General features: G+C 45.4%; 1 protein-coding gene across 55 annotated transcripts in view, besides 3 other annotated features; it reads right to left on the bottom strand.

Annotated features, from left to right (window-relative positions):
* Nucleotides 1–25,989, bottom strand: part of CACNA1C (calcium voltage-gated channel subunit alpha1 C) — a 727,171-nt gene that overhangs the window by 310,055 nt on the left and 391,127 nt on the right. The window lies entirely within an intron of this gene.
* Nucleotides 520–629: an enhancer, noted in NCBI's record as "active region_5814". NCBI's record gives its function as "activates an Ori minimal core promoter by ATAC-STARR-seq in GM12878 lymphoblastoid cells {active_cell/tissue: GM12878}" and the evidence as "EXISTENCE:reporter gene assay evidence [ECO:0000049][PMID:35858748]".
* Nucleotides 9,972–10,573: an enhancer, noted in NCBI's record as "H3K27ac-H3K4me1 hESC enhancer chr12:2486489-2487090 (GRCh37/hg19 assembly coordinates)". NCBI's record gives its function as "activates a minimal SCP1, AML or CMV promoter by ChIP-STARR-seq in naive H9 embryonic stem cells {active_cell/tissue: H9 hESC(naive)}" and the evidence as "EXISTENCE:reporter gene assay evidence [ECO:0000049][PMID:30033119]".
* Nucleotides 10,574–11,177: an enhancer, noted in NCBI's record as "H3K27ac-H3K4me1 hESC enhancer chr12:2485885-2486488 (GRCh37/hg19 assembly coordinates)". NCBI's record gives its function as "activates a minimal SCP1, AML or CMV promoter by ChIP-STARR-seq in primed H9 embryonic stem cells {active_cell/tissue: H9 hESC(primed)}" and the evidence as "EXISTENCE:reporter gene assay evidence [ECO:0000049][PMID:30033119]".

Genomic DNA, 25,989 nt, shown 5'->3' with positions numbered 1-25,989 from the left:
GTGGGGTTTCACTGCTCCTAGGATAGAATCCAGACTCCTGAAAATGGCTTCCAAAGCCCCTCCTGCCCTCGCCCCTCTGCTGTCACTCCTCACAGGCTTTGTGGCAACTTCTTTCTGTTCCTTGCAGCTGCTGAGCTCTCTCTGGCCCTGGAGCCCTTTCACAGGATCTTCCAGTTGCAGGGAACAGCTTTCCACCTTCCTCTTTGCCTCAGGTGTCAGCCCTTGGCTCCACCTACTCTGGGGAGCCTTCATGAAACCCCACAGACTAGGAGCTAACCCTGGATGGAACCTAGCATTTTCTATGCTATAGCTCTTAGTTCATTATTAGTCATTGCTTTCTTTCTTTCTTTCTTTCTTTCGCTCTTAGTTCACTTATTAGTCATTGCTTTCTTTCTTTCTTTCTTTCTTTTTGAGATGGAGTCTTGATCTGTCGCCCAGGCTGGAGTGCCGTGGTGCAATCTCGGCTCACTGCAACCCCTGCCTCCCGGTTTCAAGCGATTCTCCTGTGTCAGCCTCCTGGATGGCTGGGATTACAGGCGCCTGCCACCACGCCTGACTAATTTTTGTATTTTCAGTAGAGCCGAGATTTCAGCAAGTTGGCCAGGCTGGTCTCGAACTCCTGACCTCAAATGATGCACCCACCTTGGCCTCCTAAAGTGCTGAGATTACAGGCATGAGCCACTGCACCCGGCCAGTCATTGCTTCTTTAATCATCTGAGTCACCTCCTAACTGAAAGTGCTCTGAAGAAAGTGCCCTCCCCTGCCTTGCACACCACTGCATCTCTAGGCCTGGAATAATGTTGGCATGTTATTGAATGAATAATGAATGGACAGAATTCTAAACCTGGAATAACTAAAGTCAGTTTAAAAAGTCTTATTGTTAAAAGAGCTGTGAGAACCATCTTCACACCACGTCTAGCAGCAGCAAGCTCAGAATGTGGTCCATCACAGGAATGGCAGTAATTTACTCTTCCTGCCTTTAGAAAGGCTGGGTCAGGTGGAGGACTGGGGTGGCAAGAAGGCTGCCCCAGGAGTCAGGAAACCTGGTTTAGCTCATTTATCCATCCAGTAAACACGGACTGAGCATCTACTATGCTGGTGCTGCACTCCCTGCTGGGATGCAGAGAAACAGGGCACGCCCTTGCCCTCGGGTGCTTAGTGTCTAATGGGGGTGGAGATAGAGACACATAATCAGAAAGCACCATAAAATTCTAAAAGCCCTTTAATGAGAAGACATACAGGTCACAGAGGCAGAGTGGTGAACCTGTGTGGGGAGGAGGTATAGGAAGAGCTCACACAGGACAAAGTACTGAGCTGAGTTTTGGAAGATGAACAGGTGCTTGCCAGGCAGACAAGGAAGTGACAGGCATTCCAGGCAGAAGAATCAGTGTGTCTAGGAGTAAAAACACAGAATGAGAAATAACATGGCACTCGTGTTTGGGCCACTGCAGTTGGTTGTGTGTGGCAGGACTGAAGAAAGTTGGGGGGAAGAGGAGAGTTTTTCTAAGAGATGAGGCTTGCTCAAGAGGCAGAAAGAGTCAGATCCTGGCTGGTGCTTCTCAACTCTGCTGCTCATCAGAATCAACCGGAGGAGCTTTAAAAAAATCATGTAAATACCTGAGCCGCAGCCAGTGATATCAGTGTTTAATGACTTGTTGGGGGGCAGGGGCTGATTTGTAGCATTTGCCAATTTCTATGATGTAAATACTCATGCCATGGTCAATTTCAAGCTACCAATGGGATGTCACTGACTGCAGAGTTGGGAGGAGATGTGTAGTAGCACACCATTATATAGTATTTCCACCCAGCAGATACAATCAATAGAAATTACCTCGAAAGGTAGTAAAGGCATCAGGCAAACCTGACTTTTGAGTATGTATTACCTTTGTTTTTAACATAATGTACTTACTTACAAGTTTGTATAATTTTTAATAATGGTCATTTAACAACCCACTCATAAGATTCCTGGAAGCGATGGCCTCTCCTGAGTCGCTGGGGCTGGTTCCAGCTGTAGGACACCACTGGCCCCACCCAGGCCCACTCTATGGAGTCACTACGGGTGAGACCCAGGCACGGGTAATTTTAAAAAGATCCCAGGTGATTCTAATATACACCCAGGGGTGAAAACCACCTATTTGTAGCCCATGTTAAGGAGTTTATAGTTATCCTAGGGGCCACTGAGGCCATTGCAGGATTTCAAGACTTTTAAACAGAAGCAATTTTACCAGGTTTGCTTCTTAGATGGGTGAGGCAGCCACAGAGTGACAGGTGAACTAAGAATGGAGGGAGGCAGGGGGACCCGTCAAGAGACTGTTGCAAATTTCCAGGCAAAAGCTGCCAGGGGCCTACCTAAGGCTACAGAGGGAGGGAGGTCATGGAGAGACAGCAGCGGGTCCTAGCTGCCCTTGGGTGTAGGGGTGCTAAGTGGATAAGGTGAGGGGGATACAGGAACAATTTTAGTTGCTGGTGGAGACTGAGAAAGTTGAGGAAGTTGTTTTCTGATCACCTCATTTTTTTTTTTTCCTATCAGAACTAGGTGATGAGGTTCCGTTGCCGGGAGAGGGAGGCAGGCATCAGAAAAGCCTCTGGCCCGGCCGTGCAGTACCTGGCTGTGTGCATCTGAGGGGGCCGGTCTTCCTGTCTATAAAGCCAGGGAGCTCAAGCAGATCCCTCTGAAGTCTCTTCCAGCATGGAGACTCTGATTCCATCACACTGGCATTTGCTCATGTTTTCACTTTCTTAACTTCCCCGGTGACTCAAATTACAACTTGTTATGGGTATAAAGCCTCATTTTCTCTGGGAATCTGGACTACGTCTTTGTAAGTCTTCAGCTCGGGGCAGGCAGTTTCAATCCTTGGGGAGCGAGCACTATGCTTACTTCGCTCTCATCTCCCTCCTTTCACGGTCAGTTGGCTCCCCTCCCTGAGGCTGACCACTCCCAGCCCCTTTCCAGATGGCGTCTAATAAAGCCGAATGGGACAGAGACGTACCTTCTGGATAACTACGCATGCAGTAAATTCTAGCAGACCAAAAAGTAAAAAGATTTGCTAAGCCAAGGAGTGGGCTTTGCTCAAATTGCAAAGGAATTTCTCCAAAGGCCTCTTGCAATGCCTTGCTATGGAGTTCATCTGTCCCTGCAGTGCCTCTACTGGTACTATACTATGCCACGGTGAGGACCAAGACTGCAAGAGGCTGGAGACCCAGGTTGCAGGTTGCCCATGTGGCTTACTCTCCCTCCACCTCCCTTCCCTTTCACTGTTGCTGCTCAGAGAAGGAAAAGTGCAGGGTTGTCTACCAGGAAAAGAAAAATAGGGCATGTACACAAACGGAGAAAGGGAGGCTGGGGTTGAAAAAGAGTCATGAACTGGAGAGACTGACCATGGGCTTTTGTTAGAAAGAAAAAAAGGAGACAACAACAGGGTGCCAGGAGACCTCTAATTGTGCTCATTCTTGCTAGAGTCCTTCATGGACTCTAGGCTCAGTTCCGAATCCACGACCAAAGTAGATGAACTTGGAGTAAGATCCAACAACATAAGGTGATTAGGGTCAGAAAGAACAACTTGCACAGAAAGGGTGAAAGACGCACAATGTGTAACCTGGAGGAAAGACAGTAGAAACAAGATGTAACAAACATCTTCGAGAATATGAAGAACTCTTACACAAAGACAGTACAGTAACCCGCGATTCTCCGCCAAGGAGCATGCAGATGAGTCACCTGCGAGAAAACTTGAGTGCAACAGTGTTTCTGGTGGCACTGCTGCTAACCTGGGTGGTGTGTGATCCACAGAAGGAAGGCAGCTTGTCTGGAGGGTTTTAAAAATCAGAGTGGTCCTTATCAGTTTGCTGAGGTTCAGATGAGGTTCTCCATGTAGGGGTGGCAAATGCATTCACAACCTCTCAAGTACCTTGCACCCGGAGGATCTGTGATTTCCCTGCTCATTAGCACCTTTGGCAGAAAGGGAAGCCAGGATGAAATGCTAATCAATTAGATTTCCTGCTCATTAACAGCTCTTCTGAAATGATTAAAGGAGGAAGTGAGAACCAACAGACAAATTCAGGACTGGGCCCTGGCCTCTTCTTCTGCCCTCTGGCCCATTCTGCAGGGCGTTGTCTTGCACTGGCTTCTCACTGGGGCAAAGGGTACTTCACTGTATTTTTGGTTCCTTCTATTTTGACGTGGTTTGAGTGTTCAGCTCTCCCCAGCAAGGCATGGGAAAAGGCTCTTTTCCTTGCCTTGGCTCTGAGACAAAATCCTTTCTTAGGATGATTATTATTGCTATTCACATTATCATTGCAGACGAGGCAGTGAAAATTCCCTACTTACTCTGCTGTCTCATTGGATCGCCTCCTCTGTCTGGGAATTCAGGCTTTCCATTTATAACTCCACTGGTTTATCGTAGGGTTGAAGCTGACCCCTCGCTCAACCGGACATGAAGACATCATTACTTAGAAACCAAGGACAAAGGGCACATTCCTGCCACCCAACGAACTACAGCTATGTTGCTGATCTCTTACCACCCAGGAGTGGTTACGATTATTCCAATGACAGTAAGACCAGGCAAAGGGGGAAATTCCAGGCCCCTAGGTTAAGCATCGCCACGAGACAACCCGCTTTAGTCTCCACTGCTCTTGTTTGCCTTTGCTCCCACCCACCCTTCTTTTCCTGAGCCTTCCAAATGCTACAGGTGCTGCTTGCATATGATCATAGTAATAGCTACACTCGTTTAGTGCTTACAAGCCAGGCACACCTACACAGCACAGCACCCCATTTTATGGAAGAGAAGGCTGATAAACCACTTGCCTGGATCACACAGTTCATTAATGATAGTGCTGGGACTTGAATCCAGGATTACAAACTAGTTCCAGCTGATCTAGAGTGCATTAGGGAACACTGCCTCTCTTACCTACAAGTGGCCTTGGTCCAGCCTGCTGAGCCCAGAGCTAAGCAGCTTCCCAGCTCTGATCCCAGTGACTAATACCAAGGCTTTCCCCATCCTGTGGGACTCTCAAGAACAGCTGAAAGGCGGTTGTGTCAATAAGCCCATCTCAAGATCTCGGATGAGCTCTATTCTAAGTCAGTCAGTTCCACATCGATGCAAGTTCCTTTCAAATACTCATGGGTTATTTTCTTATTTAATGAGGAGGTAAAGGGTGCCCAGGGCAAAATACATTCTGGGATTTGCCAGTTCAGGAACATTTGCTTATGGGATATATGACTGGTTTCGAATCTCAGCACACACAAGGTTGGCTCCTACATCTCTCCTTTCTGTCTCTCACAGCCTCGATGTTCACATAAGCTCAGAGCTCCCCCTATGATATGATTCAGACACAAGCAGCACAGGATTGAAATGTGAATTGCCAATTTAGAGAAGTCTGTAAGCTTCTTGTGCTGTGGCTGCCTTTGGTGGTTCTCATGATGGCTGTAGGTCCTTCTCAGAATAATGTTCTTAAATGGAAATAAAGGATTGCAAATAAAGCCAGTTATGTTGAAATATAGATATCAAAAATATTTAAAGACAATTTTGTAATACACAAATATGCATGCTTCTTTGATAATATGTTAAATAACAAAATCTAGTGGATTACCAGAATTTTGAAGTAGTATTGAAAGCAAACAATATTTTTGAGATATTTGCAACCATCTTAACGTGATAAGAAAATATCCATGGTTTCTAATGGTGGACAAAGTAACAGAAACTGCTAATGCTATTGTGGTGTGTTGTCTATACTTGCGAAGGAATACCGTGAGAAATTTCGGCTAGAAGCCTGTGATAATAAAGATCCAGTTATTCTCCAAGTTCATAAACCCTCTGGAATTCCATCTATAGACTTCATGAACCCCAGTTTAAGAAGGGAATGTTTGGGAAAACAAATGACACAGAGAGGGATGGGTCTGCCCCAGGCTGGAGGCAGCACTTGCTTTGAAGGAGGGCCCTCTGATTGTTGGGCTGTCCCTGGGATCCATCTGCAGAATCCTCCCAGATGTTCTGATTCTCAGAGTTGTTTCTATCTTCTCCCAGGATACCTCCAAGGACTGGGAGATTTTCTTAAGCATCCCCATAGTCAAAGTCATTATTATTAATTTGTTAGTAAAATTCCAAATGAGAAATGCTGCCGATTGCTCTGAGATCATTCTATCTGAGTGAAAGCTAGAGATGGTGAGATGATGAGAAGGTAGCCAGTCTGGGGAAACTGGGTTAGTTCTCTACGACAAGGAAACCACCAAGGCTGCCCAATAGTGGAAATGGTCTTCAGGGTTAGCCCCAGGATTGCTACAGTGTCCTGGGGTGGAGGGCCTTACATCGAGGAAAACCTGGAGGCAAGGAGCCAGGCTTCCCAGGGCTGTTGCAGATGAGGTGGGAACACCAGAACCACCATATCTGGGGAACTTTCCTGGAAGGCTACTTGGTCAATACTTTTAAAGCAGCTAATTTATAGGGCATTTCTGACCGAGTATCCATCATCTGTCTCTACAACCTGAATGCTGAGTTTGTCTGAGCTGACAACACACGTTAGGTTTGGAAGTTCTAAAATCATAATCGGGAAGAGGAAGATGGATCCTTGGGGAGCATCTCACTTGGTGGCCCTTAGCCTTTGGTTCAGGGACCTCTGAGAATCACAGGCAATGGCCTTTTAGCTCCTGACAAATGCCTGACACACATTCACATTTTATATATAATTTCAGGAACTTCAAGGACTCTTGGAAGCCTGATCTAACCTCCCTTCCTCCATTCAGAGATGACAAAACTGAGGACAGAGGAGTGAGGGACTTCCCACAACCACAGGCAGCCAGCTTGAGTGTGTCTGCTGCACAGTTCACAGCAGGTCCTGGAAGGCAGATGGCCATGGACGTGGAGACCTTGCAAAGGGCCACATCCCTGGAAATTGCTTCTCTTCTTTCACACACCTCAGTCCCCCTCCCCATCCCACGTGCTGCTGGGAAAAAGCACACGGGCCAGCTGGGAAGGAGGTTGCACCTTCCGTAGGTGATCCTTGGTGATGTGCCTCTGCCTTAGGACACCATCCATCTTACGTGCTGTAATGAGGACATTGCCCCCCACCCACTCCCAAGCAGGGCCCCCAAAGAGGCCAGTCATGTTATTTAAGGCTTTATCTCTACACAAATAATAAATGCAGAGATCACAGGCATGGGGAAGTTAATTAGTATTATTGTGTCTTTAATTCTAACATTGCTCACTGGCAGAGCCCTTTCGTGCCAGCCTTAAGCCAAGAACAACCTTTGTGATACTCACTTGGACAAACCCCTTGTGTATGTGATGAAAGAGGGATGGGGGAACACTGGGAATCTAACCAACCTATTAAGAGCCCAGTTTATCAGAAGAGGTCAGTACCGGGCTCCCAGAGGGGTGAAAAACATCAGCTGCAGACAGAGAGCAACTGAATGCTCCTTGCTACCACCTAAACACACAGATGGAATGCCTGCATGCCCTCTTGCTATCGTTCCAATCTTTTAGAAGCTATATTTGAATCCTAATACCATTGTCCAGGTACTGCTTTTTAGTCACCTCAATTGCAAGATTGTGCCTGTAAAGAAACAGGCAGCGTCACGTGTTAAAGCTTGCAAAGCCAAGTCCAAAAATAGCCATGCAAGCACCATGCAAGTTAGGGTTAGACTACACAGATGCTACAGGAAACAATTCACACCAGGACGACATCTGTCTTCCAGAGAACACAATCTACCATCAATAACTTGGACACAGAAAAGGATACAAGGGACACCCAGCCACTTGGGCAGAGTGTTGAACACGTGCTTAAGCTGACTTGACCATCACGTGGGTGGGGATGGGAACCAGGGGACCTGTGCCAAAGGAGAGCTGGTAATATTATGTCTTTTTTTTTTTTTTGAGACGGAGTCTCGCTCTGTCGCCCAGGCTGGAGTGCAGTGGCGGGATCTCGGCTCACTGCAAGCTCCGCCTCCCGGGTTCACGCCATTCTCCTGCCTCAGCCTCCCAAGTAGCTGGGACTACAGGCGCCCGCCACTACGCCCGGCTAATTTTTTGTATTTTTAGTAGAGACGGGGTTTCACCGTTTTAGCCGGGATGGTCTCGATCTCCTGACCTCGTGATCCGCCCGCCTCGGCCTCCCAAAGTGCTGGGATTACAGGCGTGAGCCACCGCGCCCGGCCATGTCTTTATTTATATTATTATGTCCCGCATCATGGCAGGCTCTCTGTAATGGGTGAAGGAAGCTCAATGTCACTTCCAGATGACTGTGCCATGTGACCATGGGCCAGTTACTTACGTCTCAGGGCTTGCATCCCTTCCTCACCAGTAAAATGAGAGATGGACTGGACAATCTCTACCACCCAGACAGCCTCACACTCCTAGGAGGCAGACCAAGAAAAAGCTGTTCTATCGGGAGCGTCAAGATCCTCCAATTCCTGTACACTTTTAACAACGTGCCTTCTTCCTTGTCCCCAGCCCCAGGGTGAGTAAAATTCTCAGGGTTAAAAGCTTTTTCCACTTATGCTAAAATGTGGAAGAGAAAACCGATAAAGGGATATGAACGGTTACTTAAGATTTCTCTAAAAGGCTGAAGGAGCTAAATAAAGGGTTCATGATTATTAGCCCGGGACAGCCTATCATCACCGTTACATGGACAAATTGTACTGCATGTCAGAGCACGCACAAGATGCACAATAATTTATCAGTCAGGACCCAGAAAATTGTACAGTACAAGTGCCTCTGCAGCTTGTGCCTCCCTGCCCTGCCACCCTCCCTCGGTTCTGTCAAAGGGACATTGCCAAGAGAGGCCCTTGATTTAGGACTTGGTTTAAAAAAGCACTTATCAAAACCAAAAAGGAACTGAAATATTTCTGTGACATTTATGAGTAAACAACAAAAAGAAAACAGTATTTTTCTCGCTGTTCTCCTTCCCTCCTGTGGTTTCTCACTATTCTCTAGGTAGTTTCCTAAATGCGACCACAAAAAAGAAACCTAAATTTGTGCAGTAAACATGGGATTGACCAGGAAGACACATGAAACTGACTACGGTGGCCTATTGGCAAAGAAAGGAAAGAAAAGAAAAGGAAAGAAAAAAAGAAGGAAAGAGAGAGAGGAAGGAAGGAAGGAAGGAAGGAAGGAAGGAAGGAAGGACCCAAATAAACAAACAAAAAGAACAAGGACAACCAAGCAATGGCCGAGAGCAATGAAGATTTAGTAGCCTGTGAAGTGGTGAGGGAACACTCTTCCCCCACGGGGAGTATTTTATCCCCGACCTTATTTAGAATGGCCAGGCCATGATGACAATACAAAGTAGACCATCTTTCTGTGAATTTTATGATTGTTTTTAAATTTCCCATAGACAACTGCTCCCCTCTTGCCCGCACAGGGTAGATGGCTCCCATGGGCCTGTGCTTGGTACACCCCGTAGACACTGGTTGGCATCTATGTGCTTACGTTTGATGATTTGAGGAATCATGGGTAATGAAGACAGGCGCTTTTGTGGCGGCACAGTCCAACCCTGTGATGTTCTAATGTAAAAACAGTTTTAAAAGACTGCAGATTGCAGAGGCCATAGAGGGGTGCTGGAATCTGGCATTCGAACCCATCCACATGCAGAGGCCCGTGCTTCCCTTAGGATGCCTGGAACTCTCCTGGAAGCTGTTCCTCTTTTTCTAGCTTGTGTTTCTGGGGCTGTTTCTACCTCTAGAATCTGCTCACAAGACCTAGCACTTCACTAATTCCCAAGTATTTACTCAGTTGTGGTTGTTAATCGTATTATTTCTAGACTTTATAATCATTATTACTGGAAGAAACTAAAGTCCAAAGAAGGGTATGGGAGTCCAGTGAGCTCCTGGCAGAAGAGAAGTCATGACTCGGCTCTGCGGGGGATCATACTCTTCACACTCACCCCAACCCTCTTCTAGGCTCAAGACCACCAGATTACTGCCAGATCACTTAGTAAGGCCAATTCACTCAGCTCTCATTCCCCAAAGCTTACGGGAGCACTCAGGCCTACCTTCTTTCACATTTTCCCACGTAGTAGAGACAGTGAATTCTCCCACAGGACACAGGGAGGCCTCGTGTGTTCTTCAGAAATCATGGAGAAGCAGAAGGAGCTCCAGGAGCCAGGCGGACTCACTTGGCATCCTTTCCCCTCCTCATTAGCTGTGTGAACTTGGGCCAGCCACAACATTCTTGTGAACCTCACTTTACTCAGCTGTGAAACGGGGATAATACGCCCCACCTTTTAAGTGAGCAGTGCAGACTGGAGGAGATAAAGAACATATAACGTGTGCTCAATGCTCAGTACCTGTGGCTGTGGTGAAGGAGGTATGGGGTGTTTCTTTAGTATTTCCTGGCTGTCTTCCCACAATCGAAATTGCAACGCGAACCATGCTGACAGCAAATAAAACAAAACCCTAAATCCCTCGACGTCAGGGGCCCAGCACACCTGTGATAGCCGCTGTAAGGCTAGGCTGGTCGGTGAGTTCCTTGAGGGCTGTGAGTAGGTCAGGGGTGCAGCGCTGTTGCAGCTGGGTGCATGTGGTGTTCGCCATGTTTGTCCTTGCACTGCATGAAAGCCCCTGAATCCTGGGCTTCGGCATGACAACATCACCTCTTAGGGCTCTGCTGAGAGTCCTCCCAGCTTGTGCTCACAAACAGAACGGGGGCCGGGAGAGGAGGGCATTGAGGCCACACACAGCCCTGCTCAGTGAAACCCACAGCTCATGCTGGTGTTTAAATGCTAACTATGGGCTCCCAGGACAGCCCATTTAATTTCTCCTTTTGTTGGCCGTGTCCCAGCCCTTCCTTCTCCTCCAGGCCCCTCCTCAAATACCACGCCAGCTGGGGAGCTGCCCCTCCCCTAATTATTACCCTGGGGCTGCCAAGATGCTGGCTCCACCCCCGCAGAGGATGGCGGCAGAGCACAGAACGTGACAACAGCAGCAGCAGGTGGCCCCAGCAGAAAAGGCCTGATCATGGTCCCTGCGATTCCTACCATTCCTGGCCAGCTAGTGGGCGTAGCGAGCATGCTTTGTGTGGCGCAGGGGTTCTGCATTCTTAGGGCACCACCATCTTTCACCCCATCTCTGTGAAGCAGGGAGGAGGTGGGGGGTTTTCTGTGCAGCAATGTATGCCTAAGACACACTCTTCTAGTCAAGAATGTAGGATTGCTTAGCCTAGAGCAGCAGAATCCCAGTTAAGGTTTCATGTTGGGGTTCTTGGGGTGGTCTTGCCCTCCACATAGCTCCCCAAGGGAAAGGGCTCCTGTGAGCAGAAATATACTGCAGCTCACAGCCCCCTAGCCTATTACAGAAAGGTAGGACAATCCTTGGGAAGCAAGCAAAGTTTGCCGCCAGCAGCTCCCAGAACCTTCCTTGCACATTTATTCGTCCACCTGTCCGCCTAAGCTGTGCATCCATCCGAACACCCACTCATCTTTGCTGAGAACCTAATGAGTGAGGGCTCTGTGCCACATGCTGGGGATACAAAGGTGGGTAAGACACCATCTCGGTGCTATTTGCCCCCCTCCTCAAGCACAGGTACTCAGGGGGCATCATCCAGTTGTAGTTTATGAGGACTCTGCAATAAGAAGAAGAATGGGCGCTTGTCCTCACATACAGAGGCTCAGAGTTTAGTGGCTTGCCCAAAGCCACACAGGAGGTCACAAAGCCATGACTCCGACCTGGACTTCTGATCTAGAGTGTCCTCCATGGCAGTGTGTTCTCTAATGGCAAAAACAGACCACTTCCCCAAGCAATGGCTGAGACTGAAGGGGCGACTCTGGCCTTGAGCATGGCTGCTCCTTCTACTGAGCAACCATGTCATTTCACTCAATGTTTCTCAAACACTTGTTAGTGCCAGGCCCTGTGCTGGGCACCAGCCAAACTGCCTGGGGCCCTGCTTGTCCTCTTCCCCTGTTTTGATTTGCTTGCTTCGTTGTTTGGTTCTTCTTGGACTGTTTCTAGGTTGGTTTAGTCTTTGATACTCCTCCCATGTGAGAAGGTCCTGACTGGTTTCATCCCAGGGAAGGAAGACAGCTCCCAATCAAGTGGTGTGGTCAACGTCTTCCACTTTGCCATGCAGAGAGCCTGAGTTACCAGTGAGCTCTGGGCAGAACCAGTGGGCTAAAGACTCTCCATGGATTATATCAACACTGTCAGAATTGTCAAGTTAGGCACTGTCTCTAACTCAATATGTTAAGATACATATACTAAGACAAGGACTTGATTTAACAACAGCAGCAATAATAAGCATCCTTAGGGTATGATGTATAAAGAAAAGAGACAGCGGCCTGGAAAACCCACAGGTGGCACTTCAATACTAACTATAAATGGGAAGTTGAAATACCTCGGAAAAGAAACATCTGATCATCAAGGAAGAGCTTTGTAAATCATAGAATGGTATCAGTGAGTGTAACGTTGGGGACCTCCAGGCTAACTCCTTCACTTGGTGTTCAGAGAGCTAAGACTTAAGAGTACTCCCAGTGCCACAGGAGCCGAAGGTGGGCCAGACCCAGGAAACGCATCTCCTGAGCCTCATGCCAGGCCTGTTCTGCTGAGCCACGACACCGGGCATCATTCACTGGGCATCATTCTCATCAGAACCCCAAGCAAGCCCTGCTTGTACCTTGCAGATCTCAGCCCAACCTGTCCCACTGAGGCAGCACAGGGAAGATGCCAGCCCTTCTTCTGCAGAGTCTCAACCATCCTGTCTCCTTGGCAGCCGCTCAGCACATGCACATCTGCTGCCCAGAGAGAAGGGCAGTGTGTGAGAAGTGCGCCCTGCACTGGGTTCATGTTCCAACCCTGACTTTCCCCAGCCTGCTGACCTTGAAAGAATCACTAATCCTGTCTCATTTTGTTCCCCATCTGAAAACTGGAGCAATAATCTTATCTCTGAAAGCTTTTGTAAAGATGAAGACGTAGACTGTCACTGGAAGCACCTTATTATTGATATTGCCCAGTTCCCAGACAACACTGCCAAGCTCTGAGGCTGTCCTGCCACAGATCCCGATGTGAAGCCACCCTGCTCTCCAATGAACCCAACTTCCAGTGCATGCATGCCTTTCAGAGTGAGGAAACGCGCTTCTGCCTCATTGTTTGCTTTCCCGGCTGTGCTGGTTGGATGCAGCAGGGATAATGTTGACTGGAGATGGTTTATTTGTCACCTAATGCTAATGTGTCATCCCTGCAGCAGTGGTTATCACCTACTATTAGTATTCTTTGTCTGCTGAGTGAATGGCTAAGGGGCCCTGAGCTGGAGTGGACAGAAGAGGGGAAGACAAACTGTGGAGTTAGGAGCTGCTATGTGGGTGTAAGCCAGCAGGGAGCCCTGACCGCTCTACCAATGCCTCAGAGTAGGAAAACCACCCTGGCTGAGTTCCCACCCTGAGGCCTGGCCCACGGAAGGCCAATGTGGCGTGGGCTGTGATATGCTATTGAGACAGGCAGAGGGTTGGTGGCCTTGAATGCCATGGCTGGAATATTGAGTTACGAACAATAACACCCAGTCCCCAGTCATGGGAAAATAAGCAGGGCTTAGGGAGGCCCCAATGGGAGCCACAAATAACACCAAAGCAGAAAATGGCAAAAACAATTGCCACCACAATAAAAAACCACATAGAACCAAAACTTATGGCCAAATTTCCCACATACTGCAATCAACAGTCCATTACTAAAAAATTCCAGCATACCAGGGAAGAATGACAGGACCAGAGGAAGGCAGAGAGATGAATCAGAAAAGGAAGAGAAGAAATAATGAGCACTGGTAAGTAAACGTGCACGTGGGAAGACTACTAGTCTACTGTCTACTAGTTGTGGGGCGGAAGAGGGTGCTGGGTTCTAGCACCAGAGGCCCAGCCCTGGCTAGCGGAGTTGTGATGTGGGCCAGGTCCCTTGACCACTGTGGCAACCAAGTTTCCTCATCTGTAAAATAAGGACTGGACCCAGTGATCTGTAAGGCCCCCGCTGGCTCTAGAATTCTAAGAAAAAGGAATTCGGAATATCCCTTGAAGGCTGGCATAACAAAGTTCGTCATGCACAAGAGAGGAAAAATGGGACTGAGCTTACTGATACTGGAGAAAAGCATGAGGTTTGACTTGCAGATCACCTTCAAGCCTAAGAAGGGTGGCAAATATCTTTTTTTAATCGCCACTAATGGAAAGGCAAAAGGAAAATGGGCTTGAAGAGGGTTTGTTAAGGCAGCTGGAGCAAACTCATAAATACGAATATAATTCTGTTGTTTCCCTTCTGAAATACTTTCAATGGTTCCCATATCTATCACTTAAAATCCAATCTCTCCCCTGGCTCACAAGCCCTACAGCTGCGGCCCCTGAATCCACGCCAAACTCCTGCCCCATTGCTCTGCCCAGTTCAGAGCGCTCCATGCTGGCCTCTGCATGCTGCCTGGGACACCCTCTCTCTAGCTTGTCCCAGGGCAGGCTCCTCAGGGCAGTCGGGCCTCAGTGTCACCTCAGGAGACCTCTGCCGACCACTCACTTTGCAGCCTCCCCCAAAACTCCCCATTGTATATTCATGTTCCTGACATTTTCTTTACTTATTATCTGTCTCCCCCATGAGAATGTAGGTGCCAGGAGAGGAGAAACCCCGTTCGTGTTATTCAGTGCTCAGGGTCTAGAACGGAGCCTGCCACATGGAGAAGCTCAGTGAGCATTTGCTGAATGAATGAGGGGTGACAAGTAAGTAATATAAGTAGAAAACATATGGATGTTTTCCCCAAGGAAGGCTGAAAGGCACTCAAATGAAGGGTTGGGGAAAATCATGGATCCTCCTTCGCTGAAAGTCTCTTTAAAGAACAACGAGATGCTTTCCTGTCAGTAACGATCCAGTTCCTTGTCACTTCTCCCGCCACAGACCAGACCAGGAATGTGCCGAGTGCCCCAGGCTGGCTGCCCACTTTGTGACATACAGAAGCCAACACCGTGCATTCCTTTGGATGGTGAGTCAAGGAGCTTCTCGGCACCGGACTTGCTGGCCTCTCCTGGGGCTGCCCCCGCATCCATCTGCTACCATTGCTAACGAGCCCCTGGCCTCTTAGGCCTGCCCAGGGAGCTGCCATTGCACTACTGGCATGTCCCCGGACCCCTGAGGCTGACAGGACTTCTCACCAGCCAGCCAGGCCAGATGGACAGGCCTCAAGGAACATGCCAGGGGGCAGGCTAACGGATGGATGGGCCTTGGAAAGGGAGGCGATAGGGATTGACCCTCAAACTATGTTTTAATCTGCTGAGAACATTAAAGTGATCCATTGCTTTATTTTTTCAGGTTGCCAAAAAAAAAAAGGGAATGCGGATTTATTTATTATTATTATTTTGGTAATGTGGAGGATGAAAGGCAGGCAGGCAGGATTAGGTGGGTTGTGGGAAAATGTAATATTTTCCAGTACTACATGTGTCCATCTCTCCTGGATTAACTGGAGATCAAAGAAGCCCCTGCTGGAGATCTGCCTGTGTCATAAGGTGCAACGAGTCAACCTGATGTTGCTATAGGAACCAGATTTCTCCCCAGCGTCATGGCAACAGACTCCGGTGTGTTAGGCGCACAGTCTGCTCACACTGACATAGTGAGCTCAGGAAGAGAGCAGCAAGGGGTGGGGAGATGTGGGGGAGGCTGTACACAGTTCTCTTCCTAAACCAATCAGCTGAAAGCTCAAATAAATGAGCCTTACTTTGAATGGAGATGACGACGGGAATTGTGCATCTTTGTTGGAATAACTGCAGGACACTGAGGACATCATCAAACTTGGGGGTCCCATCTGTGGTTGTCTACATCATATACTATCTGTTCTTATAACGAGGGGTTTCACTGAGGAAGACTCCTTCCAAGGTCCAGTAAAACAACAAATGATAAACAACCAACCAACAAAACAAAACCCAAAAGAGCTAATTATGGGCCATTCTGAAGTCCATGAGCAATATTCTATTTCCTTCATGAATTTCTAAGTGACAATGAACTTCCCCACCATCTAGGAACATCTAAGAGGGGAAGGAAGAAAATTGCAGCATCCGCTCCCCTTAGAGGCTTTTAATACTCAACATCAATTTCTTTGGCCTGGTGACAGAGCCCATCATCCAGGTAGAAATGTGGATCTGGAAAGAACGGCCTCCAGTCTGTGATTTAATTCCACAAGTTTCAACACTATTGTCCAAGAGTCCGAGATTAAAAAAAAAAAAAAAAAAAAAAGCCATATGTCATTTAGTATGTGCTTGCTTCCTGTGTGCCATATTTTTTTTCTAGGTCTCTGTACCATCGGGCTTAAGAATATCTCCTTATTTCTTGCTCTTGACCTAAGGAGATGGTTCTCAAAGTGTGATTCCTGGAGCACCAGTGGTAGCAGCAGCAACATCACTTGAGAGCTTGTCAGAAATGCAAATTCTCAGGTCCTCACCTGAGACCTGCGGAATCAGAAACTATGGAGGTGGGGTCCAGCACTGTTTTAACAAGCTCCTCAGGTGCTTGTGTTGTAAAGCAAAGGTTGAAAACCAATGGCCAAAGGAGTCTATGCCCCTTCAACGCCTTCTTTCTGCCCACCTGGGCCTCCAGTCAGTCAATGATGGGACTGCAGAAATCCTACGGCTGGGTCTTTTGATGCCTTCTATTCCAACTTCTGCCCGATGAAGCCTCTCATCTTCACTCCTCAAGGATGCTTTGTGTCCTGGTGAGCTCACCATTTTGCAAGATGAACACCTGACTACACCTTACATGGCTCTAAAACCTGCCTCTCCCTTTCACTCCTACCCAAAATCTAGTTCTGCTTCCTGAAGCTACTCAGAATTAGTCTGATTTTTCAGCCTCATGTAGCCCTTTATGTATGTGAAATCAGCTATTCCATTGCCCCTAAATATCCTTGTTTCCAGGTAAAACATCCCTAGATCCTTCTGCAGTTCCTTATGTAACAGTTTCCAGATGGTTCCCCTGGGGTCCCTCACTGAATGTGACCAACATGAGAGGAGGACACACCTTGCTTCTCTTTAAACTTGGAGAGCAGACGAGCCTGACTGTACAGAGCATAGGGACTGCCCCCTCCCCACCTGGACACCGCAGACTGCCACCAAGGCAACCCAGGTCAGCTTCGACTACAATCACAACACCAAGCCTGGGGCAGTGAAATCCCCCCGATCCTTTTCATAAATGCAATAGTTAAGTTAGTCCTCTTTCATTCCTATTTTTTGAGGCTGAGCCCATAACTTAGCATTTCTAATACTAAATTTATCTCATTAGTTTTGGCCCAGAATTTTTATTAAGATACTATTGAATTTATTTTTATACTGTACAAAAATGTGATACTATGCATATTTATTTTCCTTTTAAACTTTATTCAAATTCATATGCTGTCCATATATTTTATATCCTGCTATTAATGTGAAATGAGCATTTCAACTTGTTGGCTTCAAAAACATAAGTTTTATTAGCTCATCATATGAGTTATAACACATTTAAACATTCCCCTTTGATGTTAGGTTCTCTCCTCTTTTCTTGCTGTTATACATGAGCTGAAATGAACATCATTATACGTAAATATAAAACTTTGTCTAATTATTTTTCAGCCCAAATTCCTAGATGGAAAATTAGTGGTAATAGGGTATGAACATTTCAAAGACCTTGATATGCATTGCTAAATTGTTTCCAGAAAGGTTATAACTTTTTTCTATTTCTATCATAGTATATGAGAGCCCATTTTACCACACCTATTGCTAATGTATTTTTTTAATCTGTGTTACTTTATTAAGTGAAAAATAGCATCTTCTTTTAATTTATGTTTCTATTTTACTAGTGAGGCTGATTTTAAAAATCAAAATGTATTTACCAGTTTGTAGTTTATATTTTGTGAATAAATCTGTTCACGTCCTTTGCCAAATTTTCTAATGGGGATGTGTTTCTTTAATTGATTTCTAAGATCTCCTTATACAGCAGCAATATTGACCCCGTGTCTACCACTTTAATAAACATTTTCCCAGTGTGTGTTTGCCTTCCAAAATTTTCTGTAATTTTTCTGTGGGTAAAAGTTTTCTATTTTTATGAGTTGAATCTCAGTCTTTTCTTTTGTGCCTTCCTCCATTACTTTCATGTTTATAAAGTCTTCCATAATTCTGGAGGCAGTTAAATAGTCTTTTTCCCCCAAGTCTTATGGTTTATTTTCTTTCATTTAACTATTTGAATCCACCTGTAATTTGCTTTGTCTAAATGTATAAGATAGGTATGTAGGCTGGGCGTGGTGGCTCACACCTGTAATCCCAGCACTTTGGGAGGCCAAGGCGGGAGGATCACCTGAGGTCAGGAGTTCAAGACCAGCCTGGCCAACATGGTGAAACCCTGACTCTACTAAAAATACAAAAAAAAAATTAGCTGGTTGCAGTGGCATGTGCCTGTAATCCCAGCAACTCGGAAGGCTGAGGTAGGAGAATCGCTTGAACCCGGGAGGTGGGGGATGCAGTGAGCCAAGATTGCGCCACTGCACTCCAGCCTGGGCAACAGAGCGAGACTTTGTCTCAAAAAAAAAAAAAGGTATGTAAAGTTATTTTATTTCCAAATACTTACCAATCCAGTCCCTGCCCTCGCCCACCTTCCTTAAAACTTCTTTGCTTCCTTTACCATATAGTAGGTTCTCATGAGCCACAGATGCACTGCATATTAGTTTCATTTTTTAGAGAAGCACCTTAAAGTTATTTTTACCATACATAAATTGAGGGGAATTTTAAACTGGTTTTGTAAGGGAAAACAGATTTTGTTTTCTAGTACACAGTATATGCTACTTTGGAGACACATAGGAGGATGCAAATTTTCTTCTGCCTTTGACTGATGCATTATTTTATGGCTCTGGCCTTCTACTTTTAAAATGGTGCTGTTGAATACAAGGTTATTTTGGACACATTTATTTTTAAAAATTTTATTTTATGCCCCAACAAATATCATTACTAGAGGCTGTTTCCTGGTTGTTTGTTTCACACAGCTCTGTCCGTGGATTCCTTTACCCGCACCATTCTGTTCATCTGTAGGAATGCCGTCTCTTATCCTTTCCTCACTGTGCTCATGACATATCTTTCTTGGTAAATTTGGTCTGGTTATTTTTCCAGATAAATTCTAGAATTATTTTTCTAAGCACTCTCCTTTCCACTCCCCACCAAAACAACAAACAATGCCCAAACCAAAATATAAACAAAGAAAATACACCCTGGGCTGTTGATTAGGGTTCTTCTTAAACTCATGAATTAATTTGGAAAGATTTGGCATCTTCAGATATTCAATCTTTCCTATAGAAATACGACATGCTTTCATTTATTCTAACTGTTCTTCTATATCTTTTAGTTAAATTTAATTTTGTCATACAGTCCCATGTGTTTAGAATATTTTCCCTAAGCACATTTTAAAAGTTTTGTAATTGTTGTAAATAGGAATTCTTTTCCATTTTATTTTCCAGATGGTCATTTTTGGTACATAAAAACTACTGATTATTAAACTATTTATGTCATATCCAGTCACGTTTCTGGGGCCCTTTTATTAATGCTAACTATTTTCAGTTAGATTTTCTAGGACTATAATCACACCATTTGCAAATATTGATAATTTTCTCTCTTCCTTTCCACGTCCTGCTTTGTTGTAGCCCCTCGACCTTTCACAACGCTGACTGGCAATGGTTCTAGTGCACGTTCCTTTCTTGTTCTTGATTTTAAAGGAAATGCTTCCAGGACATCATCACTAAATGTTTGCTGTTAGTTTGAGATACATTCTTTATCATATTAGCTGTCATTCTATTCCTAGTATTTTAAGAGTTGTATTTAAAATGGATATTGAGTTTTATTGCATGCTGCATTTTTTAGTTGACTTACCAATGTGATATATTATAGTATTAAATTTCCCAGCATTGAATAGTCCTTGAATTCATTGGCTGTGTCTTACCTAACTGTGAATCCAATGGATTCAATTTTATTTCATTTTTCTTTTTTCATCTGTGTACATATATAAGATTATTCTAAGACTTTTTTGGTGACATCTTTGTCAAGATAATGCTAATTTTATTAAATAAATTTTTAACTTTAATGTTCTTCTGTATTTTGAAAAAAATTATCTAAAGTTGAAATTTATATTTTTCTAGAAAGTTACAATTAAGATTTTCAAATTTCTTAGCATACCACTATGAATAGCATTCATTCTCTTATGCTATTATGTTTCCTTATTAATTTTTGCTCTTTTTTATTTCTAAATTTCCAGAGGTAAATTAATTAAATTTTGTATTTTATAGCACCAGCTGCTTTATATTGTAAATCTATTCTGATACTGTTTCCTAATTAATTAATTAAACTTTTAGCCTTTTTGCAACACTTTGTTTTAGTGTCTCCTGTACAGAATATGGATACATTTTCTGTTTTAACCAACATCTGTAAGTCTTATACTTTTAATAATAAGAGTGTTTAACCCACTTACATATTTTAGCATAGTTAAACGTTCAACCCTACTTCTGTCATTTTGTTTTATGCTTCTGGATATCTGTGTGTTTACTTTCTCATTTTTTGTTTCATAGAGCAGGAGTCCCCAGTCCCCACAATGGCGGACCGGTACCGGTCCATGACCTGTTAGGAACCGGCTGTGCAGCAGGTGAGCTACAGGTGAGCAAGCATGACTCCCTGAGTTCTGCCTCCTCTCAGCATTAGATTCTCATAAGAGCTCGAGCACTATTGTGAACTGCGCATGTGAGAGATCTAGGTTGCATGCTCTTTATGAGAATCTAATGCCTGATGATCTGAGGTGGAACAGCTTCATCCCAAAACCCTGCCCCCATCCCTTCAGTCAGTGGAAAAATTATCTTCCATGAGACTGGTGTGATATGGTTTGGCTCTGTGTACCCACCCAAATCTCATCTCAAATTGGAATCCCCACATGTCGGTGGAGGGGCCTGGTGGGACATTACTGAATCATGGGGCGGACTTCCCCTTACTGTTCTCATGACAGTAAGTGAGTTCTCACAAGATCTAGTTGTTTGAAAGTGTGTAGCACTTTCCCCTTTGTGCATGCGCTCTCTCTCTGTCTCCCCTGCTTTGCTGTGATAAAACATGCCTGCTTCCCCTTTGCCTTCTGCCATGATTGTAAATTTCCTGAGGCTTCCAGGCCATGCTTCCTGTACAGCCTGTGGAACTGTGAGTCAATTAAACCTCTTTTCTTCATAAATTACTAAGTCTCAGGTAGTTCTTTATAACAGTGTGAGAACAGACTAATAAATGGTCCCTGCTGCCAAAAAGGTTGGGGACTGCTGTCATAGAGTATACTTTTGTTTTATCTTGAGTTTTTGAAAGTTGAAACCCGGATTTTTAACCTTTATACGTATTAAAAGCATTTGCAAATTAAACTTCTATAATTTACAAAGTTCAAAACAAAACTTTAACTCATGGTTCCCTTCATTAACACAAGTAAGTTTTAAAATACATGTAACACCTGCTTCCCTCCAGCACCCAATATTTCCTTGTCATTACCAATTTAGTCTTGTATTATATAGGCAATTTCTTATATTGTTATTTCTCAAAATATTATTTTTAAAACTAAATTCTAATTTTTATTTTGTAACTATAGTTAACATAGTTATTTTTATAAATAATACTAATAAAGTTGATAAGAGTTGTAATTTTGGGCACTTTACCTACATTTTCTATTTAATCCTCACAGAAATCACACCTGTTCAGTGAAGTTCAGAAAGGTTAAATAACTCTCGCACAGTCCCACAATTAGTAAGTGGCAGGGGTGAGGCTCATTTGCAGCTCCCAGAGCTTGTGCTCTTGCTCAGGATGCCTCAGCTCTATTTAATTGGTTTCAATTCACCATTGGTCCATTTTATACTATGCTGGGGTCCTGGATTTTCATTCATCTCAATCACTTGGAACATTAAAAATTAATTGATTCATTGTCTCTGGAGGAGGACATGTATGCTTTATTTTCTGAGACCTTGCATATTTTCATATGTCTTCATATTTTTCTGCCTGAATCACATCTTATTCAACAATCCAGCTCTTTGGGTCTGTCAGTGGATAGACACGTGGAGTGCAGGCCAGAAAAATGCCTCTCAATTCACCCATTCCCACTGGTAGGAATTCCACTTGCTCTTTAGCGCCCCTTGATTTACAATGTGATTGGAAGTTTCAAACTTGTTGGCATATTTATGGTACTTTATTTATATGTTCTTAGGAAGTATATCAAGCATATTTGGTCTCCTGTCATGTTAAATTAAAAACCAGCATGGATTTTAAAAATATTGTTTTCTATGCATTATTTATATGGCATTAGTCATCTCTCCCAACTTTGTGTCTTCAACAAATTCGTTAAGTTTCTATTTTGCAATTTCATGAAGGCCAGTGGTAGACATGCTGACTAGGCCTGAGCCCCATGACAATGAACTGAAGTCCTCCCTCCAAACTGACATCAATCTGTTAATCTGCATTTTTGGGCCAGTGTTGGCCTAACAATTATTAACATATTTCTCCATATTTTTCAAAAGAAATCATGATAGATGCCCCTCAGTGCCTTAATAAAATCAACACTATCTTCGGTATTCTTTTGATCTAAACCTAGTAGACCTACAATAAAAGAAAGTTCAGTTAATTTGCCATGTTCCTAAAATTACCGATTTCTTTTGAAAGCACACACACTATTGTTTAAAGAATATACCCTAAGAGTCTTCCAGGAATTAACATCGAGCTTACTCTCCTACAGCCTCCTAGCTGTAGAAAATCAAAATGTTTCGCTTCTCTGGCCCCTACACACGCTCCATAATTTCACAGAGATCACTGTCAGAAGCTTTAAGAAAGTATCAGGAGGTTCTTCCACTACTTGGGATAAAGCTGGACAAGAAAGACTGGAATGCTTTGTAAATGCATTGGGTCAATTCCTTTGTGGCAGCGTCTGCTGTTCTGTTTCTAGCCTGTAGGCCACTCACAGGCAGGGGCTGTTGCTTCCTCATTCTCCTTCTTGCCTTAAATTCACCGCAGAGGCCCATGTGGTATTCTCATTCTCTGCAAGCCCCTGCTTGTTCTACTCTTCTTGAACTACCTTCTTTTCAGAGACTCTCCTGGAATCACAAGATCGTTCTCTTCTTTGTGCTTCCTGAGGTGTCTGTGGCTGACCTCCGTGGGCTGAGTTCTGTACGGCAGTCTCTGCTTTCAGGACGAGGAGCCCCGAAATGACTGGTCTTTCTCCTCCATGATTTCCTCACCCCAACTAACTCTTCCTCTTTCTCGGAAGTGAGCCCAGCGTGGCCATCCCTAGAGCTGCTCCCACTTCTTGAGAGCTGGACCTCTCAGCAGCCCATGGCAAGAGTGTATTTAAACGTTCTGCTTTTAGCCGAGTGAAATTTCTAGCAGAAGATTGGGACTGTTGCCTCTGTACCTATTTTCTGAACGGTATTAAGAAGTCACATTTCCACAACATAACTTAAGTTCCTCTCTCTTTGTATCCTAAGTCTCTGCACTGGGCCGCCACACCGGGTTTACAGGTTTCTACAACAGTGTGGATTTCATAGATGTCTGGTCCACTCCCAGCCTCTCCCACTGGCACTGCACCTTTCAAACAAGGTGTGCACTTTTACTGCCACTGCCAGGTCTTAAAGTGAAAACCAACTCTCAGAGACGCCTGTAAAAATTGCATTTTCCCTATTGCATTCACATTTTAAATTTATTTCCTTTGTCCTTATAGGCATTCACCTAGAGACTGTCAAAATCATGCCAATAATGGAGAAAAAAAAGAGAACTAAAAGGAGAGTGTGGGCCTTCACTCCGGCCTCACCTCTCGTTTAGGTCTGAAGACTCACATCAGATGCAGTGGACCTTGGGGCTGGTCTGGGGCTGGGATGCTGACTGATGAGTTAGGCTGTCCTTGGAGAAGACCAGGGATCAGTCCACCCTCTCTGCTAAACTGGCACTCAAAGCTCTAAGGGCTGATCGTCACCAGGCACGAGGGGATGATGGCACTGGCCTCCTGGCCTGCAGGCCGGCCAGTAAGTTTGGACCACACCTGCTACTGTTGTTCAGGGGGTCTGCCTACTATTTGAACATCCCCAGCCTTCTCCCTTCCAAACTGTGCTTCACTGACAGGTCCAAGAAGAAGCAGAGGTATTCTTTACCGTCCCCCTACCCCAAACCTTAATACACACCATTATCCAGTCCAAGACACTCAAGGAAATCAAGACTCCAGAGGCTGTAAGAGATCTTCCAGGTTATGTTGCTAAACCTCCCACACACATATTGTGGCTATTCTTATACAGAGATCACCTTCAGGGGAAAGAAAGAAAAAAGCTCTAGAAAACAGGAAGCAGGAAGGGTGGGGAGAGGCAGAGGCTGGGGTGGGGTGGGCACTGTGGAAGCACTCCCCCACTGGGAACCCCAGCAAACTGGGGAAGGATTCAACAAGAACAGAAGAGAAAGACATCTGCAAACAGCGCCAGATAGCCACCTCTCCTCCGACAGCTGAAAGTGGTTTTGTGAGTACGGGTTGGTAACTTATTTGGAGTGGACTACCTAATTGGTTGAGCCAGGTCAAAATGATGTGGAGTTTCCAAAAGCAGGAATATAGAAATGATATGGAGAGGGGAAGAATGATCATTTTAGTGGTTTCCAAGATCCTCCTCAGTATATTATGAGATGAGACAAGGTGGGTTTCCAGGGAGAAGCAGGCCCCTGATCAGGAAGCCATCCAAGGTAGCTTGTCTCCTTACGGGGAACCTCCAAGAGCAGACAATGCTATGGTCAGCCAGGGAAAGGGCACAACTGGGACAAGAGGATGCAGGACTGGCTCTTGGGTGAGGGGAGTGTTCCTCTGGAGGGCCATACTGTGACCATGTGGGAGTGCAAGAGCTCACTCCTGATGGAAGGAGGCAGTTCAGCCCAGCTGCCTGATACCTACTCACCCCAGGCCATTATTGCATGTGACTAACAGCCTGTTACGGCCACTGGGAGGATTTTGATGAGGGAACTTCTTTTATGTAGAGATTTCCTTAGGGTGAGAAACCATCTTTTATCATCCAGTTCACACCTGGGTCAGAGGAAGGCTCTCCTGTGTCTGCCTGGCACAGCTGTCCTGATGCCCGCTGGGCCTAGAATCTGGGCTGGGCCATGTGTGCACCTGGGGCTGAGCCATCCCTCCCTGCTCTCTTTCCATTCTCCCTCATTACAGTCTGCAGCCACAGGAGAGAGAGGGCTGTAGGCCTGATCTGAGCCCTCGCAGAAAAAAATATTCTTAACTGTAAAACTCAGCTTTCTCCATCAAAACACTGAGTGCCTACTGTGCCTTCCACACTAAAGGAACGATCAGAACGGGGCTCTGCTTTCAGGAGGATTATGGTCCAGCTGGAGAGGACACACATGCACCCCAGCAGGAGAACAAGTGTTGTCTTGAACTGTGTGGTCTTGAAATAAGCTCAGTGCAATGTTGAGGATTAGCTAGACTAGGTTGGGTGGGTCTATGGGGGAGGAAGGACTTCCGCGTGCCACAAAAACATGTAGGATTCAGAAGGAGTAAAGGAGAAGGGAAGTATCCCGAGCCACAGGCCCACGTGAGTGAAGGCCAAGAAGTGCCAGTCTAAGATGGGATCCTTCAATCTCTGGCACTGTACACAGGCTTGGGATGCATTCCCAAGCCTGCATCACAGCATGAAGGCACACACAGGCTGCATACCTGGGCCCCATGCTACAACACTGGAGATGTCCCAGTGGCCTTCACGCCCCCTCAGAGCTGGGGCTACACCGTATGCCTCTGTATGTCCCCAGCGCATAGCACAGTGTCTGTGGCCAGGGGGACATACCATGTGCCTATGTACACACAGAGCCACTATTTTTAAGCACCAGCTGTGTGCTAGGTACTAAACAAGACACCTAATACATACGATGTCTAATGCCAATGAATGGCCTGCGGGGTGGAGATTATTACTCTAATTTACAAATTAGGAAATCCAGACTCAAGACAATCAGTTGATCAAGATCACAGTCGGTCTCAGGCAGAGCTCGACGTCACACTCCATCTGTCTC

The sequence above is a fragment of the Homo sapiens genome, chromosome 12, assembly GCF_000001405.40.
Source record: "Homo sapiens chromosome 12, GRCh38.p14 Primary Assembly".
In the NCBI taxonomy this organism is placed as follows: Eukaryota; Metazoa; Chordata; class Mammalia; order Primates; family Hominidae; genus Homo; species Homo sapiens.
This window is presented reverse-complemented; position numbering and strand designations above follow the sequence as displayed.